This window comes from Homo sapiens, chromosome 11 (assembly GCF_000001405.40).
Source record: "Homo sapiens chromosome 11, GRCh38.p14 Primary Assembly".
NCBI lineage: Eukaryota > Metazoa > Chordata > Mammalia > Primates > Hominidae > Homo > Homo sapiens.
Window position 1 is genome coordinate 46,234,786 of NC_000011.10, and position 19,293 is coordinate 46,254,078.

At 48.6% G+C, this 19,293-nt stretch overlaps 1 protein-coding gene across 1 annotated transcript, besides 10 other annotated features; it reads left to right on the forward strand.

The window, feature by feature from the left end:
• Positions 2,469-2,518: an enhancer, noted in NCBI's record as "active region_4675". NCBI's record gives its function as "activates an Ori minimal core promoter by ATAC-STARR-seq in GM12878 lymphoblastoid cells {active_cell/tissue: GM12878}" and the evidence as "EXISTENCE:reporter gene assay evidence [ECO:0000049][PMID:35858748]".
• LOC124902669 (translation initiation factor IF-2-like) lies at positions 2,604-4,944 on the forward strand. Its single transcript, XM_047427965.1, has one exon. It carries the CDS (start codon positions 3,054-3,056, stop codon positions 3,762-3,764), a length of 711 nt encoding a protein of 236 aa, XP_047283921.1. The 5' UTR covers positions 2,604-3,053; the 3' UTR covers positions 3,765-4,944.
• Positions 3,104-3,153: a silencer, noted in NCBI's record as "silent region_3297". NCBI's record gives its function as "represses an Ori minimal core promoter by ATAC-STARR-seq in GM12878 lymphoblastoid cells {active_cell/tissue: GM12878}" and the evidence as "EXISTENCE:reporter gene assay evidence [ECO:0000049][PMID:35858748]".
• Positions 3,264-3,583: a silencer, noted in NCBI's record as "silent region_3298". NCBI's record gives its function as "represses an Ori minimal core promoter by ATAC-STARR-seq in GM12878 lymphoblastoid cells {active_cell/tissue: GM12878}" and the evidence as "EXISTENCE:reporter gene assay evidence [ECO:0000049][PMID:35858748]".
• Positions 4,410-4,619: a silencer, noted in NCBI's record as "silent region_3299". NCBI's record gives its function as "represses an Ori minimal core promoter by ATAC-STARR-seq in GM12878 lymphoblastoid cells {active_cell/tissue: GM12878}" and the evidence as "EXISTENCE:reporter gene assay evidence [ECO:0000049][PMID:35858748]".
• Positions 7,641-8,574: an enhancer, noted in NCBI's record as "NANOG-H3K27ac-H3K4me1 hESC enhancer chr11:46263977-46264910 (GRCh37/hg19 assembly coordinates)". NCBI's record gives its function as "activates a minimal SCP1, AML or CMV promoter by ChIP-STARR-seq in naive and primed H9 embryonic stem cells {active_cell/tissue: H9 hESC(naive and primed)}" and the evidence as "EXISTENCE:reporter gene assay evidence [ECO:0000049][PMID:30033119]".
• Positions 7,641-9,508: a biological region, named in NCBI's record as "NANOG-H3K27ac-H3K4me1 hESC enhancers GRCh37_chr11:46263977-46264910 and GRCh37_chr11:46264911-46265844". NCBI's record gives its function as "regulatory_interactions: MDK".
• Positions 8,261-9,143: a transcriptional cis regulatory region, noted in NCBI's record as "candidate enhancer chr11.2128 targeted for multiplex CRISPR interference". NCBI's record gives its function as "positively regulates MDK gene expression in K562 cells {active_cell/tissue: K562}" and the evidence as "EXISTENCE:mutant phenotype evidence [ECO:0000015][PMID:30612741]".
• Positions 8,575-9,508: an enhancer, noted in NCBI's record as "NANOG-H3K27ac-H3K4me1 hESC enhancer chr11:46264911-46265844 (GRCh37/hg19 assembly coordinates)". NCBI's record gives its function as "activates a minimal SCP1, AML or CMV promoter by ChIP-STARR-seq in naive and primed H9 embryonic stem cells {active_cell/tissue: H9 hESC(naive and primed)}" and the evidence as "EXISTENCE:reporter gene assay evidence [ECO:0000049][PMID:30033119]".
• Positions 8,587-8,796: a silencer, noted in NCBI's record as "silent region_3300". NCBI's record gives its function as "represses an Ori minimal core promoter by ATAC-STARR-seq in GM12878 lymphoblastoid cells {active_cell/tissue: GM12878}" and the evidence as "EXISTENCE:reporter gene assay evidence [ECO:0000049][PMID:35858748]".
• Positions 12,815-13,159: a transcriptional cis regulatory region, noted in NCBI's record as "candidate enhancer chr11.2129 targeted for multiplex CRISPR interference". NCBI's record gives its function as "positively regulates MDK gene expression in K562 cells {active_cell/tissue: K562}" and the evidence as "EXISTENCE:mutant phenotype evidence [ECO:0000015][PMID:30612741]".

Below are 19,293 nucleotides of genomic sequence, written 5' to 3' on the forward strand. Positions count from 1 at the left end.
CCTTGGAGGAGCTATGTTTAAATATACTCAAACTGCCTTTCACGTTGAGGGTCACAAAGCATTTTCAAATGACTCATTAGTGAATTTCAATGTCTAGAAAAAGCAAGAATTATTATTTTCATTTTATAAATAGGTCAAAAGTCACACAATCAATGACAGATGTCGGAAACAGAGGTAAGAATTCTGCTTTTGTCTTCGGCTGCAGCCACTAAATCCCACCTCTAGTATCCCCGACAGACCTCCTTTCTGCTCTCCAACTTCTGGCCAAAGACTTGGAATTGGCCTTTATGTGTTTCTACTTAAAGGTTTGAATTCTATGTATGGTTCATATGCCTTTGATATTTCTGGAATTTATAAAAGAAAAGGAGAAGAATGATATTTGATGCTTTTCAGAGATCACGTTGGGACTGAGCCTTATATTGTGGGTCAAATGCCAGTAACGGGGAAAAAAATGGTCACCAGATCTTTAGAAGGTTCACTTTTATTCTCTCTCTGAAAGAATTTTGTCTGTTAAAATTAAGCAGAGTGTATCCTTAGTCACCAAAATGATTGTTGTAGGAATACTGAAAGTCACTGCTTATTGAGCACCAACTATGTGCCAAGCACTGCTCTACTTAACGCATCCACTGTATCGGGTGATTCTCACCAACACCCTAGGAGGTCTTTATCATTCATTGTATAGGTAATATAACTGGGTTCAGAGATAGAAGATGGGATGAGGAGAAAGGTGAGGGAAAGAAGAGAAAGTTCAAAGGAAATTAATTAAAAAGTATTGGGTATATAAAATGTGCCAGATGTGTTGTGTTATAATAGGTGTTGGAGATACAAAGATGAATAAAATATCACTCTCAAGGAGTTGATAGCCTTGTGGGACATTGAGGGTGACAGCTGAAGAGGCAAACATATAATAATAATAATAATAATAATAATAATAATAATAATAATAATGTCAATACAATTCAGTCCAGAAGTATTTATTGAGTTTCTGGTATGTGTTAGACACTGCACTAGTTGCAGTGGATAGTTCCTCTTCTCTTGGTGCTTACCATCTAATAAGAAAGTCAAACATTCATCAAATAATTATACATGTTTAAAATTGCAATTGAGTGCAATAAAAGACACCAGATGGGCCACAGCCTGACAGAGGATTAGTACTCAGAATATATAAAGAACTCCTACTCATAGTAAGAGATAATCTAACAGAAGCACTGTCAAATAAACCAATGAGCAACTTAAAAATGAGGAAATGGCCAACAAACAAATGAAAGTGTGCTCAGTCTCACCTGTTAACAGGGAATTGCAAATTAAAACACTGAAAGGCCATTTCACACCCATCAGCTTGGCAAAAATTTTGAAGTCTGACAATACCAAATGTTGTTGAGGATGCCAAGCATGGGAACTTCCATATATTGCTATCAGACTGTGAATGGTACAACCACTTTGAAAAAACTTTTAGTCATGCTGAGTAAAGCTGCCAGTTCCTCTGCCTTGAATCCAGCAATTCTGCACCCAAGTGGCTACTGGAAGACTTACTTTCACACAAGGGGATGGGTATAAAAAATACTAATCACAATATTGTTTCTAACAGAAAAAAAATTAAAAATAAGTTGAATGTCCTTCAGAAGGACATTGGTAAATAAAGTATGGTGAACTCATATAATGGGACCCAAATAGGAAGTGAAAATTGCATAATCTAGAACTACGTGTATCCATGTGAACACATTTCAAGATTATCCTGCTGGGTGAAAAAAGCAAGTTGCACAATTATATACCCAGTATAATGGTATTTCTTCAGAGTTTAAAAACATACCAAACAATTCTGTAAAGTGCTTACAGGCACAAATATATGTAGCAAAAATACAAAAGTATGCATAGGAATGGTAAAACTCAAAGGCAGAAAGTGATTACCATAGGGGAGGGACAGAAATGAGTTCAGAAGACTAGATCTGTGAGGTTTTATGTCCTTTAAAAAAGATCTGAAGAAAATAGAGCAAATGTTAAGCTTTGACAAAGACGTGGCTAGGGGAGGGGAAGGCACACAGAATAGTGATTAATTATATTATTCGCTATAGTTTTTTGGTATGCTTTAAATTTTTTTGAATTGCACTTTGACCTATTAAAGGCGAATTCCACTGAGTTGGGGGTGGGTGGGTCAGGGAAGGCTTCTCAGACGAATTGAGTCTTACTTAAGATGACAGCTGAAAATTGAGTAGAAGAGGAAGGGCGGCAAGGTGTTTCAGGCAGAGAAGCCTGCGCTAAGAGGCTGGACTGGGAAGGTGAGGTAGGGGCCAGGGACTGAGACCCCCTGTGTGGCCAGAGCAGGGGAAGAAAGGAGCTGATGTTGAGGGGAGGGGAGGCGAAGGGGGTGTGCACAGACCATGCAGGACCCCACAGGCCATCCTGAAGGCTCAAGCCTCTCCCCTAAATATGACAAAATCAGCAGGCGGCCCAGGGACACTTCACTCGGCCAGATAGCGGAACAGGGAGGGCGTTCTTGAAAAGGTGACTCACATCTTGAGTTCTGGAGGATGAGTAAGAGGAAGCCGGTAGGGGGAGGGGGAGAAGGGAGGAAGGGGAAAATTCTCTGGATAGGGCCTAACTGCAGCAAAGACCTGAGGACCTTCAAGAGTGTGGCCCCAGCGGGCTCCAGCCTCCGAGCCTAGCTCGGGAGGCGTGGTGTAGAAAATGGCAGACTAGGGCATCCATGAAGACCGGGCGGCCCCAAGCCGAGAGGCATGGCAAAACAGGGGTTGCAGGTGGCTGTTCTGGCAGAGCGAGGAGGATGGATTTGAAGAAGACAGGCATGCAGGGGAGACCTTTGAGGGGAATGTGTCAACAGCCAAGGGGGGCGGGGCGCCGGGGAGGTCTGGATGAAGTGGGAATGAGGATGGAGTGCAGAGTGCCTGGAGAAGTGTTCAGGAGGGAAGGCGAGGCATCGGGACGAGGGGCTGGGCGGTCGCGCCATCTCTGCGATAGACAATAATCGGGTCAACACGCGGCGAGTGGCGGTGCGCGCGGGGCCAACCGCGTGGAGCTGTCGGGAGGGCGATAGGATGGGCGCGCCCGGGCTGCAGGCGGGGAGCCGGAGGTGGGAGGTGCCTCTTGAGAGTGGCTCTCCACCGCTGACAGCAAACGAGCTGGTCCGGACGGAGGACAGAGGGGGAAGAAACGGAGGGAGTCGCTGGGGGACGGCGACGAGTGGGATCCGGGCGGGTGGGACTGGGCGCAAAGGACCGCGCCGACGCCGCATGGCTGCCGGGAATTCAGCTCCCCCGGCCAGGTTGAGCGGGCCCCGGGGCCCGGAGCGGGCGTCGGCATCTCCGGCCTCCCCGCGGGGCTGCAGGCAGGCGGCGCCCCGAGCGCACCCCGCGCGAGCAGGCGCGGAACAGCGGACCCAGGCCGGGCCTTCCCGCAGCTTTTCTGGCCGCCTCGGAGGGCAGGGTCCCAGCGCGGCCCGAGGCGCCTCTTGCCAGCGGCCCGACCTCCTGCCCTCCCGGCCCCCTCCAGGCTCCCCGCACGTGCAGGCCCGGCGACGTCACTGCGGCTCTGACGCGCTCTTGGAGGCCCGGGCGGAGGCGGCGCGGCGCGGGCTTCCTCCGGGAGGTCCCGGTCCCGGCAGCCCGCGGCCGCGTCCTTGGCCCTCCTCCGGGGGAACCTCGTTCATTCCAAACTCTGGAAGGCCGGCTGTCCTTCGGTTACTGATAAGGACGCGAGCTCTTGGTAAAAGATTTGAACAATGCCCGGAAAGAAATAGCTGGACCTAAGAAACAGACTAATAATAGCTGCCAGCTAGAGCTCCACTCGTGTGCTCAGCGCCTTTAGGAACAATAATAACGACCACAGCCATAGTAGCCACCATTTATTGAGCGCTTACTCTGTGCCAGGTGCTGTGTTAAGCGCTTTGCAGGCAACAACCCTCGGAGGTAAGTACCATTATCATCCCTATTTTGCAGGAAACCCGGGCACAGAGAGGTTAAGTAACTTGCCCCAGGGCACACAGCTAGCTGATGTCAGTGCCAGAATTCCAACCGCGGCTGTCGGACCCCATGCCATCCTCATGTCAACCCACTAAGGACGGGATCCTTCTGTCCATCTTAAAGATGAGGCAACTAAGGCACATGGAAATTTAAGTATAATACCTTGCCCAAGGTCACCTAGCTGGAAAATGGACGAGACAGAAAGCGAACCCAGGGCTCCTTTCTGTACGCAGAACCCGCGGTCTTGGCCATAGGCGATGCCACTTCCGACAGCCCAGCAGGGTCTGGCCCTGGGTCCCAGAGGCGCAGCCCCTGCGGGGTTTGGATGGGTTCCTGCGGCCTCCGATCCGCTGGTGAATTGGGTGTGTCTGAGCATCGTCCCCGCTCAGCCCGCAGGCGTAGGATAGGGAGGCGTCTCCGGGAATCTACTCCGGGACGGGTCCGCGGTCCTCAGTCGGGATGGAGCGGGGGCGGAGGCAGCCGGAGGGAACTGGAGTCCCCATTGCAGAACTGCGGGGCCGGGCTCTGGGCTGGGCGCCTGCCCCGCGCGGCCGGCAGAGGGCGCTGCCGCACACGCCTTGGATCTCACTGTCACTGGGACCTCGGGGCAGGCTGACGTCGGCCTGCAGACGCCTGGACTCAGAACCCCGAAGCAAGAAGCTTCCCTTCCTGGTGGCTGCCATCCCTCAGGCCCACCATTTCAGCCCTGGACCTGCTTTCCCTGACCACTTTTCCCCATCTTCTGTGCTCCTGCCATCCCACCACTGGCCTTCAAGACTTCCCCAGTCCCTGCACAGCGGGTTTTGTCATCTGCTGAGAGGCGCGGACACTGATTCCCATCCCATTAAAAGGCCTAGATGTCTGCAAGTCAAATTCAGCCTTGCTTCCCCTTCTCGCCCTCTGGTGATTTAAAATAGGGATACATCATCTACTTGGAATAAATGACTAATTTTTCTCTTCTCCAAAATACGGTGGGTATGGGGAGGGTTGGTTAAGTAGGCGCACACAGATGAAAGGATCTATTTTCATAATAGCTACCGAGTACAGAGTGCTTCTTTTGCGCTGAGCCCTTTATGTGCTTTGACTCATTAATCCTCACTACAGCCCTAAGAGGTGTGGATGATGATTGCTGTTTGATGGATGAGGTCACAAGGCTGGTAAGTGGCAAAGCTGGGATTCTTCCCAGGAGTGTCTGACTTTAAAGCTATGTTCTCATCACCCAGAATGTACACGCTGAAACAACTGAACAGAAGAGGTAAGATGCAAATCATGAAAAACAAATCAAAATCTACGCTGAGAGTGCATAGAAATACCACATGTCATGGGAGGCTTGACCAGCTTGAGTCCCCAATGTGGGACTCAGATGTTGAACAGAAAAACAAAACCTAAAGGTGCAAGGAGAGAATAAGAATGAGGCTTTTGGCTTTAGCTTGGAAGAGCATCCGGAGAGGCCCACTCACTTTCTATGTCTGGGCTCTGAGAAAATAAAGGTGGTTCTAGGAAAATCTGAAAAGTATGGGAGAAAGAAAAAAAAAATCCCTTTTGTGGTTTTTCCTTTAACCAAGCCTCATTTTGCTATTTGTGTTTTATTTTAAAATTAATGTGGCTCTCCCCACCCTTTAAATTGGCACATAAATAGCAAAAACAGAAGGAAAGCCAGCTACAAACTTAAAATGTGGTGGGTTTCTCAGGAAGGAGGTACATGACTTGAAATGGAAATGAGGATTAAATGAGATGCCTTAAACATTTCAAAAACAGACTTTCCACAAGGAATTTAGATCATAAGCCCTTAGGGCAGAAGCTTTGTCTGGGTCTGGGCTTGGTATAGTGTCTAGAATCTGTGAGTGCCCAATGAATGTGTAAAACAAATCACCCTTTTAGTACATGCTTGCATCATCTGACCATCTGGGCTACCACGTTGCTTATGGTTTTATTTATTATTATTATTATTATTTATTTTTTGAGACGGAGTCTCACTCTTGTAGCCCAGGCTGGAGTGTAATGGCACAATCTTAACTCACTGCAACCTCTGCCTCCTGGGTTCAAGTGATTCTCCTGCCTCAGCCTCTCGAATAGGTGGGATTACAGGCACCTGCCACCACACCCGGCTAATTTTTGTATTTCTAGAAAAGATGGGGTTTCACCATGTTGGCCAGTCTGGTCTCGAACTCCTGACCTCAGGTGATCCGCCCACGTCAGCTTCCCAAAGTGCTGGGATTACAGGCATCAGCCACCACGCCCGGCCTGCTTATGGTTTTGAAGTGTTGCTTCTGGGGTGATATTCCTGTCCTCTAGATCTCAGTCACTCCTCAGACCCCTCCCTTTTCCAGAAATTTGCTCTGGAAATTCAATCAAGGTGAGGCAATAGGTGATGATGTCACTAGGCTTGGTGAAGTAGAATGACTGCTCAGCTCTGGAACCACCAACTGGAGGTTTTTCCAAACGAGGAAAACAAAGTCATGGGACTTGTCACTTAATAGTTCTGACTGTATTGCCCTGTGCCTTTAAACTGGAAGAATTCCCCCTCTTCACCCAATACCCTGGCCATCCCAGGTGGCCTCCTGCAAAATTATTGGACTTCTTTGCCCTTTCCTCAGTCTGCTTCTTCTTCCCTCCTTCTTTCAGTACCTTCACTCCACAGACATGTATTGAGAGCCCATTATATGTAGGTGCTGGGAGGACAGCAGAGAACCTAGCATGAGCTCATGGGCTCACCTTCTCCTGTTCCCACCTCCACCTGGCTCCTTTCTTCATGGCTCCAACTTTCAGGTTTGGCTCCACCATAGTAACTGACTTGCTTCTCCATGTGGGAACAACTACTCAGACACTTTTTTTTTTTTTTTTTTTTGAAACGGAATTTCACTCTTGTTGCCCAGGCTGGAGTGCAGTGGCACCATCTCAGCTCACCGCAACCTCAGCCTCCTGGGTTCAAGGGATTCTCCTGCCTCAGCCTCCCGAGTAGCTGGGATTACAGGCATGCACCACCACACCCGGCTAATTTTGCATTTTTAGTAGAGACAGGGTTTCTTCATTTTGGTCAGGCTGGTCTCGAACTCCCGACCTTAGATGATCCGCCCACCTCCCAAGTGCTGGGATTACAGGCATGAGCCACCATGCCTGACCAGACACATCTGACATTCTATCAGCTCCGGGCAGCTTCCTGAGACCATACCTGCTGACTTTAGAACCCCACCTTGGGGGTACCCATTTGGCAGGTTTGGATCCTGATGGACCTTCAGGAGCAGAACTTGGGAATGTTCTAGCTCCAGGACCTGCCAATGCCGTCCCATCCTTTCCTAGTTGGCTTTCCTTCCATTCATAAGAACACTGTGACAACTGAAATAATTCAGGTCATATTTATGAAACATCTATTACAATGAGAATCCCATAGTGACATAATACTCCACTGTTCACAGGAAAATGCTAGCTAAAACAAACAACAGTGACTGTCTGGCAAGGGACGCATCGAATAATGCTTATGAGTCTTTTGGGTCTTTTTTTTTTTAATCTTGGGATCGAGTGATTGATAATAATGAAGGGGAAGGAAGACATTAGGCCTGTTTTAGTTCTCAGAATTATTCACAGGGAATAGACTTTCACCATCAACACCCTAAAGATGCAGAATGCTCAAGGTAAATTGCCAGTTTTTGTCTTTCTGGAAAATCCATTAATACTGAATGATCTTGGTCTTGACCCATTCCAAAAAAAAAAAAAAAAAAGAGGATTGAGCCATGGGATTCAGATTATGTCCTTGAAAATCCCTTTAAAAACTAGATTCCAAATCAGTGCTCTCATTCTTCTTGAATATCCCACCCACCAGCTTAGCTTGTCCTATCCCTTCTAGATACAGCATTATTTTCTCTCTTTGAGGAAGAATGGCCCAGAGGCCGGAAGAGTGAGGGAACGTAAGAACGACTTTTCCACTGACCTGAGTTGCTAAAGCCATTTGGACCCAGAGAACTCATTGTATATGTGTGCTGCTCAATATATATGTGTGCATGAATTTGTGGTTGTGCATTTTCTGGCTAATATCCAAAGTCTTCATAACAAGGGGCCTGAGATACGACAAAAGGAAGACCTATGTGTCAAGGACGTGTGTCCACCCACCAAGAAGTTCTGGATGCCCAAAGGGGCTCCTAGCTCAGGGTCTGTGTGTCCAGCTGCTGGGGTAAAGAGATTTGGAAACCACTGAACATTTCTGCTGGGATCCTTCCAAACCCTTTTGGGAACCGGCAATAGCACTTGTCAGGGGAAATTAGTTCTGCACTTTCACAGAGTGAGAAATTCCTCAGGGGGCATTCTTGTACTTGGGAAGAGAAATCGAACCCAGCTGATTCCTTCAGGGCCCTTGCCATTAATAAAGCAGACGAAGTCCAGTTCAGTTAGTCCCGCCTGGGTCAGGGCGTGGAGTGAGGACAGGAGCAATGGCGTTCAGGGAATTTCACCTGTGGCTATGGCCCTCCTCTGATGGGTGCAAGCTTGATATTTTAGGGGATCGCGTTACCGGCATGTAAACACCGTGAGTGACAGCCAAAGCTCCCAGGCGACCACAGAGGATCTCAAACCCTTCCTATCTTCCTAGAAACCCTGGCAGCCCGACCGGCTGCTTGCTGTCTGATGCAACAGTTTGCAACGCTGTTCTGGGAGTTGAGTCCTGCTGCGGGGCGCCGGGAACCGGGCCGACGCGCATGCGCGGGCTGCGGCCCCGCCCCAAAGGGCGGAGGGGGAGCTTTTCACCAGATGTGCGGGGGGCGGGGCCGGTCGGCCAGGGAGACCTCTGGCAGCTCGCGCCTGCGATCTGAGCTTAATTAAACTTCTCCCGAGGCATTGGCTGACTGATTGACCCAGTGATCCAAAAAAATCAGAGAGGCCCAAATCTCCCCAAACGCACCGGCAGAGCGAAGTTGGGAAGTTGGCTTCGGTTTCCAGACTTGGGCCTTTGGATTCGGCGTCCCTCTCCTGCGCCCCCGATCCGCAGCACTGTCCAGGATCCACAGCTCGGAAGCACAGTCAAGCCTCGCGGGTCTGGGCCCTCACACCACACACTTTCTTAAGAAGGGAGGCATTGTGGCTACGGGGCGGAAAGGAGGCAAGATTTTGATACCTCCTTTGTCAGTATCTCCTCTGCCTCGCTCATCTGTTTTAGGTTTTATGAGCAGGAGACGTCACCGATTATTTTCCAAAATTTTCAGCTGTTCGGATATTGCCTTCACGGTTTGCTTCCATGTCCACATTCCACCACTATTATATATTTTAATAGACTTTTATTTTATTAACTTTTTCTTTAACTTTAAACCGTTTCCCTTTTTTAGATAGCTTTGCCCTAAGCAATAACATTAGCAAAGCTACAGGCTGAAAATAAATTCAAAACTATTAAAATAAAAAATATATATATGGGCTGGTCCGAGTGCAGTGGTGTTTGCAACTAACTGATCACATTCAGTTACAGATTTCTTTCTTTTCTTTTTTCTTTTCTTCTCCACTCACACTGCTTCACTTGACCAGCCATATATATATATATATATATATATATGCTAAATTGTCTCGTCTACCACATTTGGTGAAAAACTCTGGTAATTGCTGGACACAATGGCTCATGTTTGTAATCCCAGCACTTTGGGAGGTCAGCCAGCCTGGGCAACATGGTAAAACCCATCTCTACTAAAAACACAAAAATTAGCTGGGCATAGTGGCGCGTGCCTGTAGTCCCAACTACCGGGGAGGCGAGGTGGGAGGATTGCTTGAGCCCGGGAGGTTGAGGCTGCAGTGAGTTATGATGGTGCCACTGCACTCCAGCCTGGGTGACAGTGAGACCCTGTCTCAAAAACAAACAAAAACTCTGGAGGTAATACTACCTAACATATTGAGTGATTGTCAATGTCTCAGGCATTATTCTAAGCACTTTACATGTTCTTACTCCTTATGACACCACAGAAGGTGGATGTTGTTTACATTTTAAAGGAGAAAAATGAGGCACAGAGAGGTTAAGTAACTTGCCTAAGATCACAGAGCCAGGATGCAAACTCCACTAGCCTGTCTCCAGAGCCTACATGGCTGCCCTATCCAAGGAGGACCCACAGTTTCTCCAAATCTTACCCCTCTTTCAAGGCCAAGATCAAATGTCAGGGCCTGGATGAAGGCTACCTGGGAGATGGGCACACAGGGTACTGGCATAGGGGAGCATGAGAATCCAGTCAGCCAGGGTTCAGGTACTGGTTTTGCTGTTACTAATTTTATGATCTGAAGCTTTTAGTTTCTTCATCTGTAAAATAAGCAGAATCATTATTTATTTATTTATTTATTTATTTATTTATTTATTTATTTATTTATTTTTGAGATGGAGTCTCGCTCTGTCACCCAGGCTGGAATGCAGTGGCACGATCTCGGCTCACTGCAAGCTCCACCTCCCGGGTTCATGCCATTCTTCTGCCTCAGCCTCCCAAGTAGCTGGGACTACAGGCACCCACCACCACGCCTGGCTAATTTTTTGTATTTTTAGTAGAGACAGGGTTTCACCATGTTAGCCAGGATGGCCTCGATCTCCTGACCTCGTGATCCACCCGCCTTGGCCTCCCAAAGTGCTGGGATTACAGGTGTGAGCTACCATGCCCAGCCCAGAATCAATTTCTTCATACACCCTTGATCCAACCAACTCAGGACATCTGTCCCAGTTTAGAGTTCTCTTCTTCCTTCTAAGGCTCGGTTTGGGCCCCTCCCATGTGCTCTCCTGGCACTTGATACTTACCGGGATGTTAGCACTGAATAGCACCGTACTGTAAATACTTGCTTCCCTCACTAGACCAGAAGCTCCTTGAGCACAGAGTCTTGCCTTGGTCAGTGCTGTATCTCCAGTACCCAGCCCAGTGCCTGGCACATGGTGGCCACCCGTTAAAATAGTATTGAATGAATGAACAAAGTGGGCCCTGAATAGAGGAAGGCCTTTTCTTTCCCCTCCAGATTGATGGAGCCATCCACATGGAAGGCTGAAGGACCCTCTAGCCTTCTAAGGACTCCTTCCGAGGGCACATTCTGTAACAGTGGGCAGCACTGGCATCACTACCCAAAGAGGTCAATGGGCTGACCCTGAGAGGTCTCCACAGGGCAAGTTGAGTTAGTGACACAGAACAGGCAGAAATGCCAACAAGCGTTAAGGAACTGCATTCAAGAATCTCTCTCAGCACTCATGAACTACTGGTTACTTAGTGCTAAGTGCAAGGGCCTACGTTTTGCAAACTTCAGTTCATTCTCACGACAGTCATAGAAGGTAGGTCAATCAGCCTTTAAATTTTTTAAAAAAATTTTTTAAAGCACCTTTTTTTTAAAAGCACCTTTGGAATCCAAAGGGTGCTTCCAGGCATTTCTTTCCACACTCCCTAGATCCCCCTCCTCCCCTTTACCTGGATGGGACAAAGTTTCTCATTTCCCATGTTTCATTTTCTTCTTTTTTTATTTTTTATTATTGTTTTATTTCTGTAGGTTATTGGGGAACAGGTGGTGTTTGGTTACATCAGTAAGTTCTTTAGTGGTGATCTGTGAGATTCTGTTGCACCCATCAGCCAAGCAGTACACACTGCACTCAATTTGTAGTCTTTTATCCCTCACCCCCTTCCCACCCTTTCCCCTGAGTCCCCAAAGTCCATTGTGTCATTCTTATGCCTTTGCATCCTCATAGCTTAACTCCCACTTATGAGTGAGAACATACAATGTTTGGTTTTCCATTCCTGAGTTACTTCACTTAGAATAATATCATTTTCTTCTCTAAAGTAACCCATAAATCTCTGATGTCCGTGACAATCCCTATTTTGAACATCCTATCTACTGTCCTCCATTGACCATGGAAACACTTAGAAATTCCCCTTATCCACATTAAAACTACATTTCCCAGACTGCCATTCTCATCTGGAAAGAGAACAAAAAGCCTATGTCAGACCATGTGTCTTCTATTTTGGGGTTGGAAAATCTGGTCACTAACTTGGATAAAGATTGGTATGCCCATAGACTAATTCTTCTGGCCCCAGGCAGACATGAATTTCCCAGGCCTCAAAGATTGGGGGTGGGGATGGGTTATTACAGCAAACAAAACCTTCAATTAGAGGCAGAAATAAAGACTTGGTGTAAGACTTTTAGAAAATTGATGACCCCTGCCCATCTATTTTCTTTCTGCAACAGCCCTTACCACCACCACCTCTTCCCTCTCTCCATTTCCTTTCCTTTCCCCTTCTTCCAGATTCTTCTCTTAATTGTACCATCGTGCCACTCCCTTGTCCCCACCCCCACCCCCTTGCCCACACCCATTCTTTAACTGTTTAGTATAAAATCCAGCCCACCAGACTGAGGTTTTCTTCGACCCAAATGTTATTTTCAGAAGGAGCCATTGAGGTTGGGGAGTAATTGCAGTGTTGGACCTCTGCAAGCCAAGCTGAAAATAATCAGCGAGGCAGATGGGGCGGGAAGAGAGTGTGGTGCCCTTCCACCAAAGAGCGAGAGAAACCCAACAGAATGAGTCAGAGAGACGAGTGCCAGGCTGGGCCGGCTGGGCTTACGGCTGGGAGTTCAGTTAAGGGGAAACTGCCCAAGGTGTTGGGGCCTCTGACTGAGGCCTGATCCAAGATGGTTCCTGGCTGCACATCACAAGTCCATATTTCTTGTGACAGCCGCTAAGCTTCTCTTGCTCTTACTTGGTTGGGCCATAGGAGCCAGTAGGCCAAATTGGAACTCAGCCGTGCCAGTTGGCTCGCCCATCTCTGCAGCGTTTCTCCACTTTGGCACTATTGACAGTCTAGGCTGGATGATTCTTTGTTGTGGGGAGCTGTCCTGGGTATTATAGCATGTTTATCAATATCCCTGGCCTCTACCCTCTCGATGCTAATAGCATACATGTTTACATTCACGTCCAGTTGTGACAATCAGAAATGTCCCTGGGAAGGCAAAAATCAGCCCTTGTTGAAAAACCACAACATCCAGGCCTACACGAGAGTCACATCACCTGTCCCCATGGTGGCGCCATTACCTTGCATTCTATCCAAATGGGCCTAGATCCAAATGATTAGCCAACTCGTATTTCCAATGGCCACTGTTAGATTCCTCAAACTCAGCATGAGTGCCTACCATGTGCCAGGCACTATACTTCATTGTTGACAATGAAGCAGTGGAAAATACAGACATGGTTCCTGCCTCATGGAAATTACAGGTGTATTGGAGAAAGACGGGCATTCAGTAACCACCAGTGAGAGGTGGGGAAAGAAAAAAATGGGATGCCATGAGACCACAGGAGAGGGTTTCTGACTTTGGTGAGGGGATCAAGAAAGGCTCTTAGAGGAAATAAGGAATTAGCCAGTTGGAGATTTGGGGGTAAGGGTGTATTCTGTAGAGGAGGGACTGAGTGTTCAGATGCCTTGAGTTAAGAGAGACTTTTTTTTTTTGGTTGTTTTGTTTTTGTTTTGTTTTGACGGAGTTTTGCTCTTGTTGCCCAGACTGAAGTGCAGTGGTGTGATCTTGGCTCACCGCAACCTCTGCTCCCAGATTCAAGCGATTCTCCCGCCTCAGCCTCCCAAGCAGCTGGGATTACAGGCATGCGCCCCCACACCGGGCTAATTTTGTATTTTTAGTAGAGACAGGGTTTCTCCATGTTGGTCAGGCTGGTCTCGAACTCCCGAGCTCAGGTGATCCGCCCACCTCGGCCTCCCAAAGTGCTGGGATTGCAGGCGTGAGCCACCGCGCCCGACCAAGAGACTGTTAAACATTTCAGAAACCCAAAGAAGTCTGTCTTGGACCAAGCTCAGGACAGTGGGAAGGCGTTTTCTCCTCTCACCCCCAAAACTTGCATTTCCTGTACTCCTTCTCTAGGTTTGTAGCGCAGGCATGTACACTCAGGATCATATTTAACCATATTTAAACCACCACCCCCTCCATTCTCAGTCAACCCCCCTTAGTCACCCAGTTACCAAGTTCTGTCATTCTCCCACCAAAATCTCTCTGCAAACTGTCTCCTTGTCTCCTTGTCTCCTTTCCCACCACCAAAGCCCTGATCTGATGCGGGCTCTTTATTACTCAGCCGAATTTGTGAAATAGCTTCCTAACGAGTCATCCTCCAGTCCCTCCCTCAGAGAAAGACACAGATCTGATCATGTCTTCCCAGGCCTAAAACCCCTCCATGGCTTCCAGAGGCCTGTGGGACAGGCTGCTTCCTTCTCATGGCCTTCAGATGCCCTTCTTTACCTGATCCCAACGTACCCCCAGTTCTCCACTCTGAGATCACGAGCCACACCCCATAGGCCTCCATACTTTTGCCATTCTCTTTGTCTGAAATGCCCTTCCTCAACCAAAACCATTGGGAAATTCCCATACCTATTTTAAAACCCAGCCAAAATGAACTCATGATTCTCTTCCATTCCTTCTAAGAAGCCTCCTCTTAATTCTTCCCTCTGTTTTCACTGGGCTTTATATATTGTTGTGAGTTTACCAGTTGTCATGTTGACCATAGTTATCTATTTAAACCCATCTCTTCCCTCAGCATCTCAGGACCTCAAGGGCAGATAATGTAGTGGACACTGCTGGCTGGCTACCCAACATCCATTCTCCCCCTTCCAGCTTCCTAAGAGAAGCCAAGGTGACGCAAGGCGCAGTGCAGTATTTAGAGTATGAGCTAAGCTGCTGTGACAGACCCAAAGTATAGAGACTGAAGAAGCAAGCCCATGGGGCTCTGTGGAAACTGACCCTTCCCAATAATTGATTCAGGAACCTGGCCCTAACTAATCTGAGTGCAGCAGAGACCTTTCTGGTTTACTCATATGCACCATCCCCTTTTTAAATAACAGAACTCCTGATTTTTGGCGAGCAGATGGCTGCCTCGTTAAAGACTACATTTCCCAACCTCCCTTGCTGTTCAATGTGGCCAGGAGTCTACGTGCTCCCCCAGTGAACAGTGAGCAGACATAATCGGACCACTTTTAAGCTGGGCTCTCAAAAGCACTGTGCATGTGCTTCCCTGACCCTTCTGCCCTTCTCCCTCCCTGGGAGATGATAGAAATTTGAAGCTGTCTCTTTGGACCTAGAGAGGGAAACCACATTTGAATGATGGCCAAGCCCTCCTATCAGTCTTCAACTGCTTTTTTTTTTTTTTTCTGAACTCTCATATGAAAGAGACATACGTTCTATTTTGCTTACACTCGTATGTGGGGTCTCTGTGTTACAGCTTTTCCTATGCTGTACAAAATACACGTGCCTGGCTTTCCCAAATCTTGGGAATTGGTTCCAAAATAGGTATGTGTCCTAGTTAGGGCCAATAGATGCCAGGAAGGTTTGATTTGGGTTTCTAGGAAAGAGCATGCTTGTTTTTATCAGGCAGCTTCATGGACAACCTTCTCTCTTTATCTTCCGCTAGACATTGCAGAGCCTGGAACTAGGGCAGTCCTCTTGCTACCAGCCTAAGGATGGCACCACACACAGAGGAGGGCAAAGTTAAGAGCATTGCAGGGAAATGGAATCAGTTTCTGGACTCATCAACTTGGAAGCCTACAGTGTTAGTCAGCTTGGGCTGCCATAACAAAATACCATAAACTGAGTGGATTCAACAACAGAGATTTATTTTCTCACAGTTCTGGAAGCTAAAAGTCCAAGATCAAGGCGCCATCAAAGTTGGTTTCTGGTGAGGCCTCTCTTCCTGGCTTGCAGATGGCTGCCTTCTCATTGGGACCTCACATGGCCTCTTCTCTGTGTATGTGTGGAGAAAGAGAGAGCTCTCTGGCATCTCTTCCAGATAGGACTGTTATCCTTTTAAGAAGAGGGAGAGATACCAGAGAGCTCTCTGTCTTCTTATAAGAACACCAGTCCTATTGGATTAGGACCTTACCCTTATGACTCATCTAACGTTAACAACTGCCATAAAGGGCCTATCTCCAAATGTAGTCACAGAAAGACATTTGTTGGCTTCAACATACAAGTGTGGAGGAGACATAATTCAGTTCATAACATCACCCTACCTCTGGACCCCCAACCTCCAACTAAGTGAGCCAACAAATATCCTTCCATTGAGGCCAGCTCGAGTTGGTTTCCTCATGTCTTACCTTACAATATTTCACTCCTCTTCCTATCCCTGCTGTTCCTAGACAGACCCCAATGCACAGAAAGTGTCAATCAATATTTGTGGAATGAATGCTCAGTTGCTATTTTTCTTCTTGTACCTGCAACGACTACCTCACAGATAAGCTGTAAGCCTTTCTCTTTCCTCTGCCCTGCAAGTATGTATTATTGCTATTCTTCCTGCTATTCCCCTTTTTTTAGATGAGCAAATTCAGGCTTAGAGAGGTAAAATCACTTGTTCAAGGTTGGTAGGTGACAGAGCTGGCTTTGACCTCAGGTCTGAGAGTCCCCCCAGCCTGGACTCTTAACTAGAGTGCTTGGTGGGAAACCTTTGGAATTTGGCGGCATCATCTGTGGTCTTATAACTTAAGCAGGCATAGGGGAAGGGCATGGTGAGGCCCCAGCCCCGTAAGGTCAGTACTGATGGAGAGAAGGCTAGGACAAGAGAGAAACACAGTCACTGAAGTGAAGTGCAGGGCAGTGAAGACCACCAGGCAATCCAGGTCAAGTATGTGAAGGGAGAGGCCAGCTCTGTCGCTTAGGGTCTCCTGACACCAACAAGTGGGGGTTTAGGAGAAGAGACACAGCCCCAGGTGGACTCCAGGAGGGAGTGTGATCACCAGCATCGAGAGTCCACTGTCCCCTACTCAGCAGGACCCCTGAAGCAGGTGAGGGGTGGCCACAGGAGCAGGAGGCAGCCCTGGAGAGGTCTGTGTCCTGGTCATTTGTTTGGTTTGTTGTCACATCTGTTCCTTGCCTGTGTTCTGCTCAGTATCTTGGAGGGCAAATCACATGCTCCAGACCCTCTTGCCAACTGGCTTCTGATTAGTTTTACCCAATGAAAGTTTCTGGAGGAAGATGGAGGGCAGAGGAAGAAGAGAAGTCTGGGTATTCCTCCTGATCTCCAGATCTGGGTGGCAGCTCTGGCTGTGAGTCCATCTGCTTCATGGCTCCAGCTCCCTTGGGCAGTCCAGGTTCTGGGCTCCCTCCCTTTGTTTCTCCAGCCCTGGGAGCAACCCCACTGGTAGGGGGGCGGAGGGGTGACAGTTTCCTGCTGCTGCTCCTCTCTGGTTGGCCTCCCCACCCCCAGATGCCTTTTCAACATTTCCAACCATTTCCCCTGCTGAACCTGGGTCCTGGTCTCCTGTCTGGGCCCTGCCTGGTACCCCAGACTGGAAGGAGACAGTCACGGTCCTCGTCTCCTACCGCAGCTGTGGATCAAGGCAGTCTCACTGGGCAGAGTGGCAGGAAGCACCTGGGCTTGAGTGTAGGCAGAAGCCCAGTCCTGCCGCCAGGCCACCAGGGTGCCCTTTCAGTGACCATGAACAGAATTCAGCAGCCTCCCAGCAGAACCCCACTGGATCCCAGACCAGGAGCCCTGGCAATTGTTGCAGCTGAGTCTGTAGAATCTCTTCATTCTGTCACTCATGTTCTCCCAGCCTCGAAAGACTCCCAGCTGGGCCACTCCCTACCTGTGTGACACCAGCAAGTCACTTAACCTCGCTGTACCTCAGTGTCCTTACCTGGATTACACAGAAACTAATAGTACCTCCTCTATTGCCATGACGATGAAAGAAGAGAAAACTTGGCACAATGCCTGACACAGAGCCAGTGATCAATAAATGGGAGCAGCAGTCATTGTTATTGTTAACAATAGTAATAGCCTGGGCAGTCCCAGAGGACCTTTGGAGAGCAGGGGCACCCAAGAAGGGGAGGGAGGTTTTACATCTCTCCTGCCACATCAGAGTAAAGACTGGATCCTGAGCTGGGGCTGGGGCAGGAGAGGTCACTGGGGCTACACAAACACCAGGCACTGCTCCTCAGTGTTTGTTCTATGCCTGGCTGTGTGCAAAACATGGAATCGTGTCCTGCGTACTACTGTGTTTAATCCTTCAACCACTGGAAGAGGTATGTGTCTGTTATCATCAATGACGACATACCCATTTTTTTTTTTTTTTGAAACGGAGTCTCGTTATGTCGCCAGGCTGGAGTGCAGTGGTGCAATCTCGGCATCTCGGCTCACTGCAACCTCTGCCCCCCGGGTTCAAGCAATTCTCCTGCCTCAGCCTCCCGAGTAGCTGGGATTATAGGCGCCCACGACCACACCCGGCTAATTTTTGTATTTTTAGTAGAGACGGAGTTTCGCCATGTTGGCCAGGCTGGTCTCAAACTCCTGACCTCAGGTGATCCACCCGCCTTGGCCTCTCAAAGTGCTAAGATTATAGGCATGAGCCACTGCGCCCGGCTGACATCCCCGCTTTATAAAGCAATTGAGCCTCAGAGAGGCTCAGGAATCTGCCTAAGGTCACATAGGCAGAATGGAACAGAGCCAGATTTCCAGCCAACCCTATCTTATAAAAAACTCCAGGCTCCCCAGGAGGGATTCATGGGTCTTTCTCCACCCATGGCTCTGGCATGAGCAGGCACTGGTCCTGGTGTTTGAGTCGAGAAGGTGGGGAGCCCATAGATAAATAGATCACTCTCAGAACCAGTCTGTGGTCCAGCCCAGGCCTCCAGGCCTGTTCCTCCTTTGGGATGTCTGCCAGGTGCTGGAAGCAAGGGGCAGTCTTGGAAAGGGTGGACCCACCAGGAGGTTGCCCCCTGCCAAGGGGAACACACACGTGTGTGTGTATGTATGTGTGAGTGCACACAGGCACGTGCGGACCTGACCCCGACCTCTGCCTTGGCCTAGGAGAGGACAGCGCAGGGCTGTGCATTTGGCAGGTCAGGTCCAAAGGGACGGGTGGTGGCCACTCTCATCCCCCTCTCAGATCCCAGGAGATGCTTGGAAATTTTCCTGGAGAGCTGGCTATGGGCCTGAGACCCTTGCTGCCCATAAAGGCTAGAAAAGAGGATACCAGAGAACTCTTCCGAAATCAGTTCAGACTTTACCAGCCTCTCTGAGCCTCCTTGCCAGAAGGTGATTGACAGCCTTGTGACTCACGCCCAGTGAAGATGGGCTGCCTCAGAACATCTCATTCCCAGATCCCACCACCTCCTGGAAATCAACCTCCAAATGATCCCAGGCCTTGCTGTAGGCTCTGAGCAATGCAGAATGGCCGCCTCATCATAGCCCCATGGGACGCAGCCTGGTGTGGTGTGAGGAGCATGAGGCATGAAGTCAGCGTGGATCTCAACCTGGACCCACAGGAGCTGTGAGGCCTCAGGAGAGTGATGTCATTAGGCCTTTGAGCCTTGGATTCCTCATCTGGGAAATGGCCATAATACCTTCCCA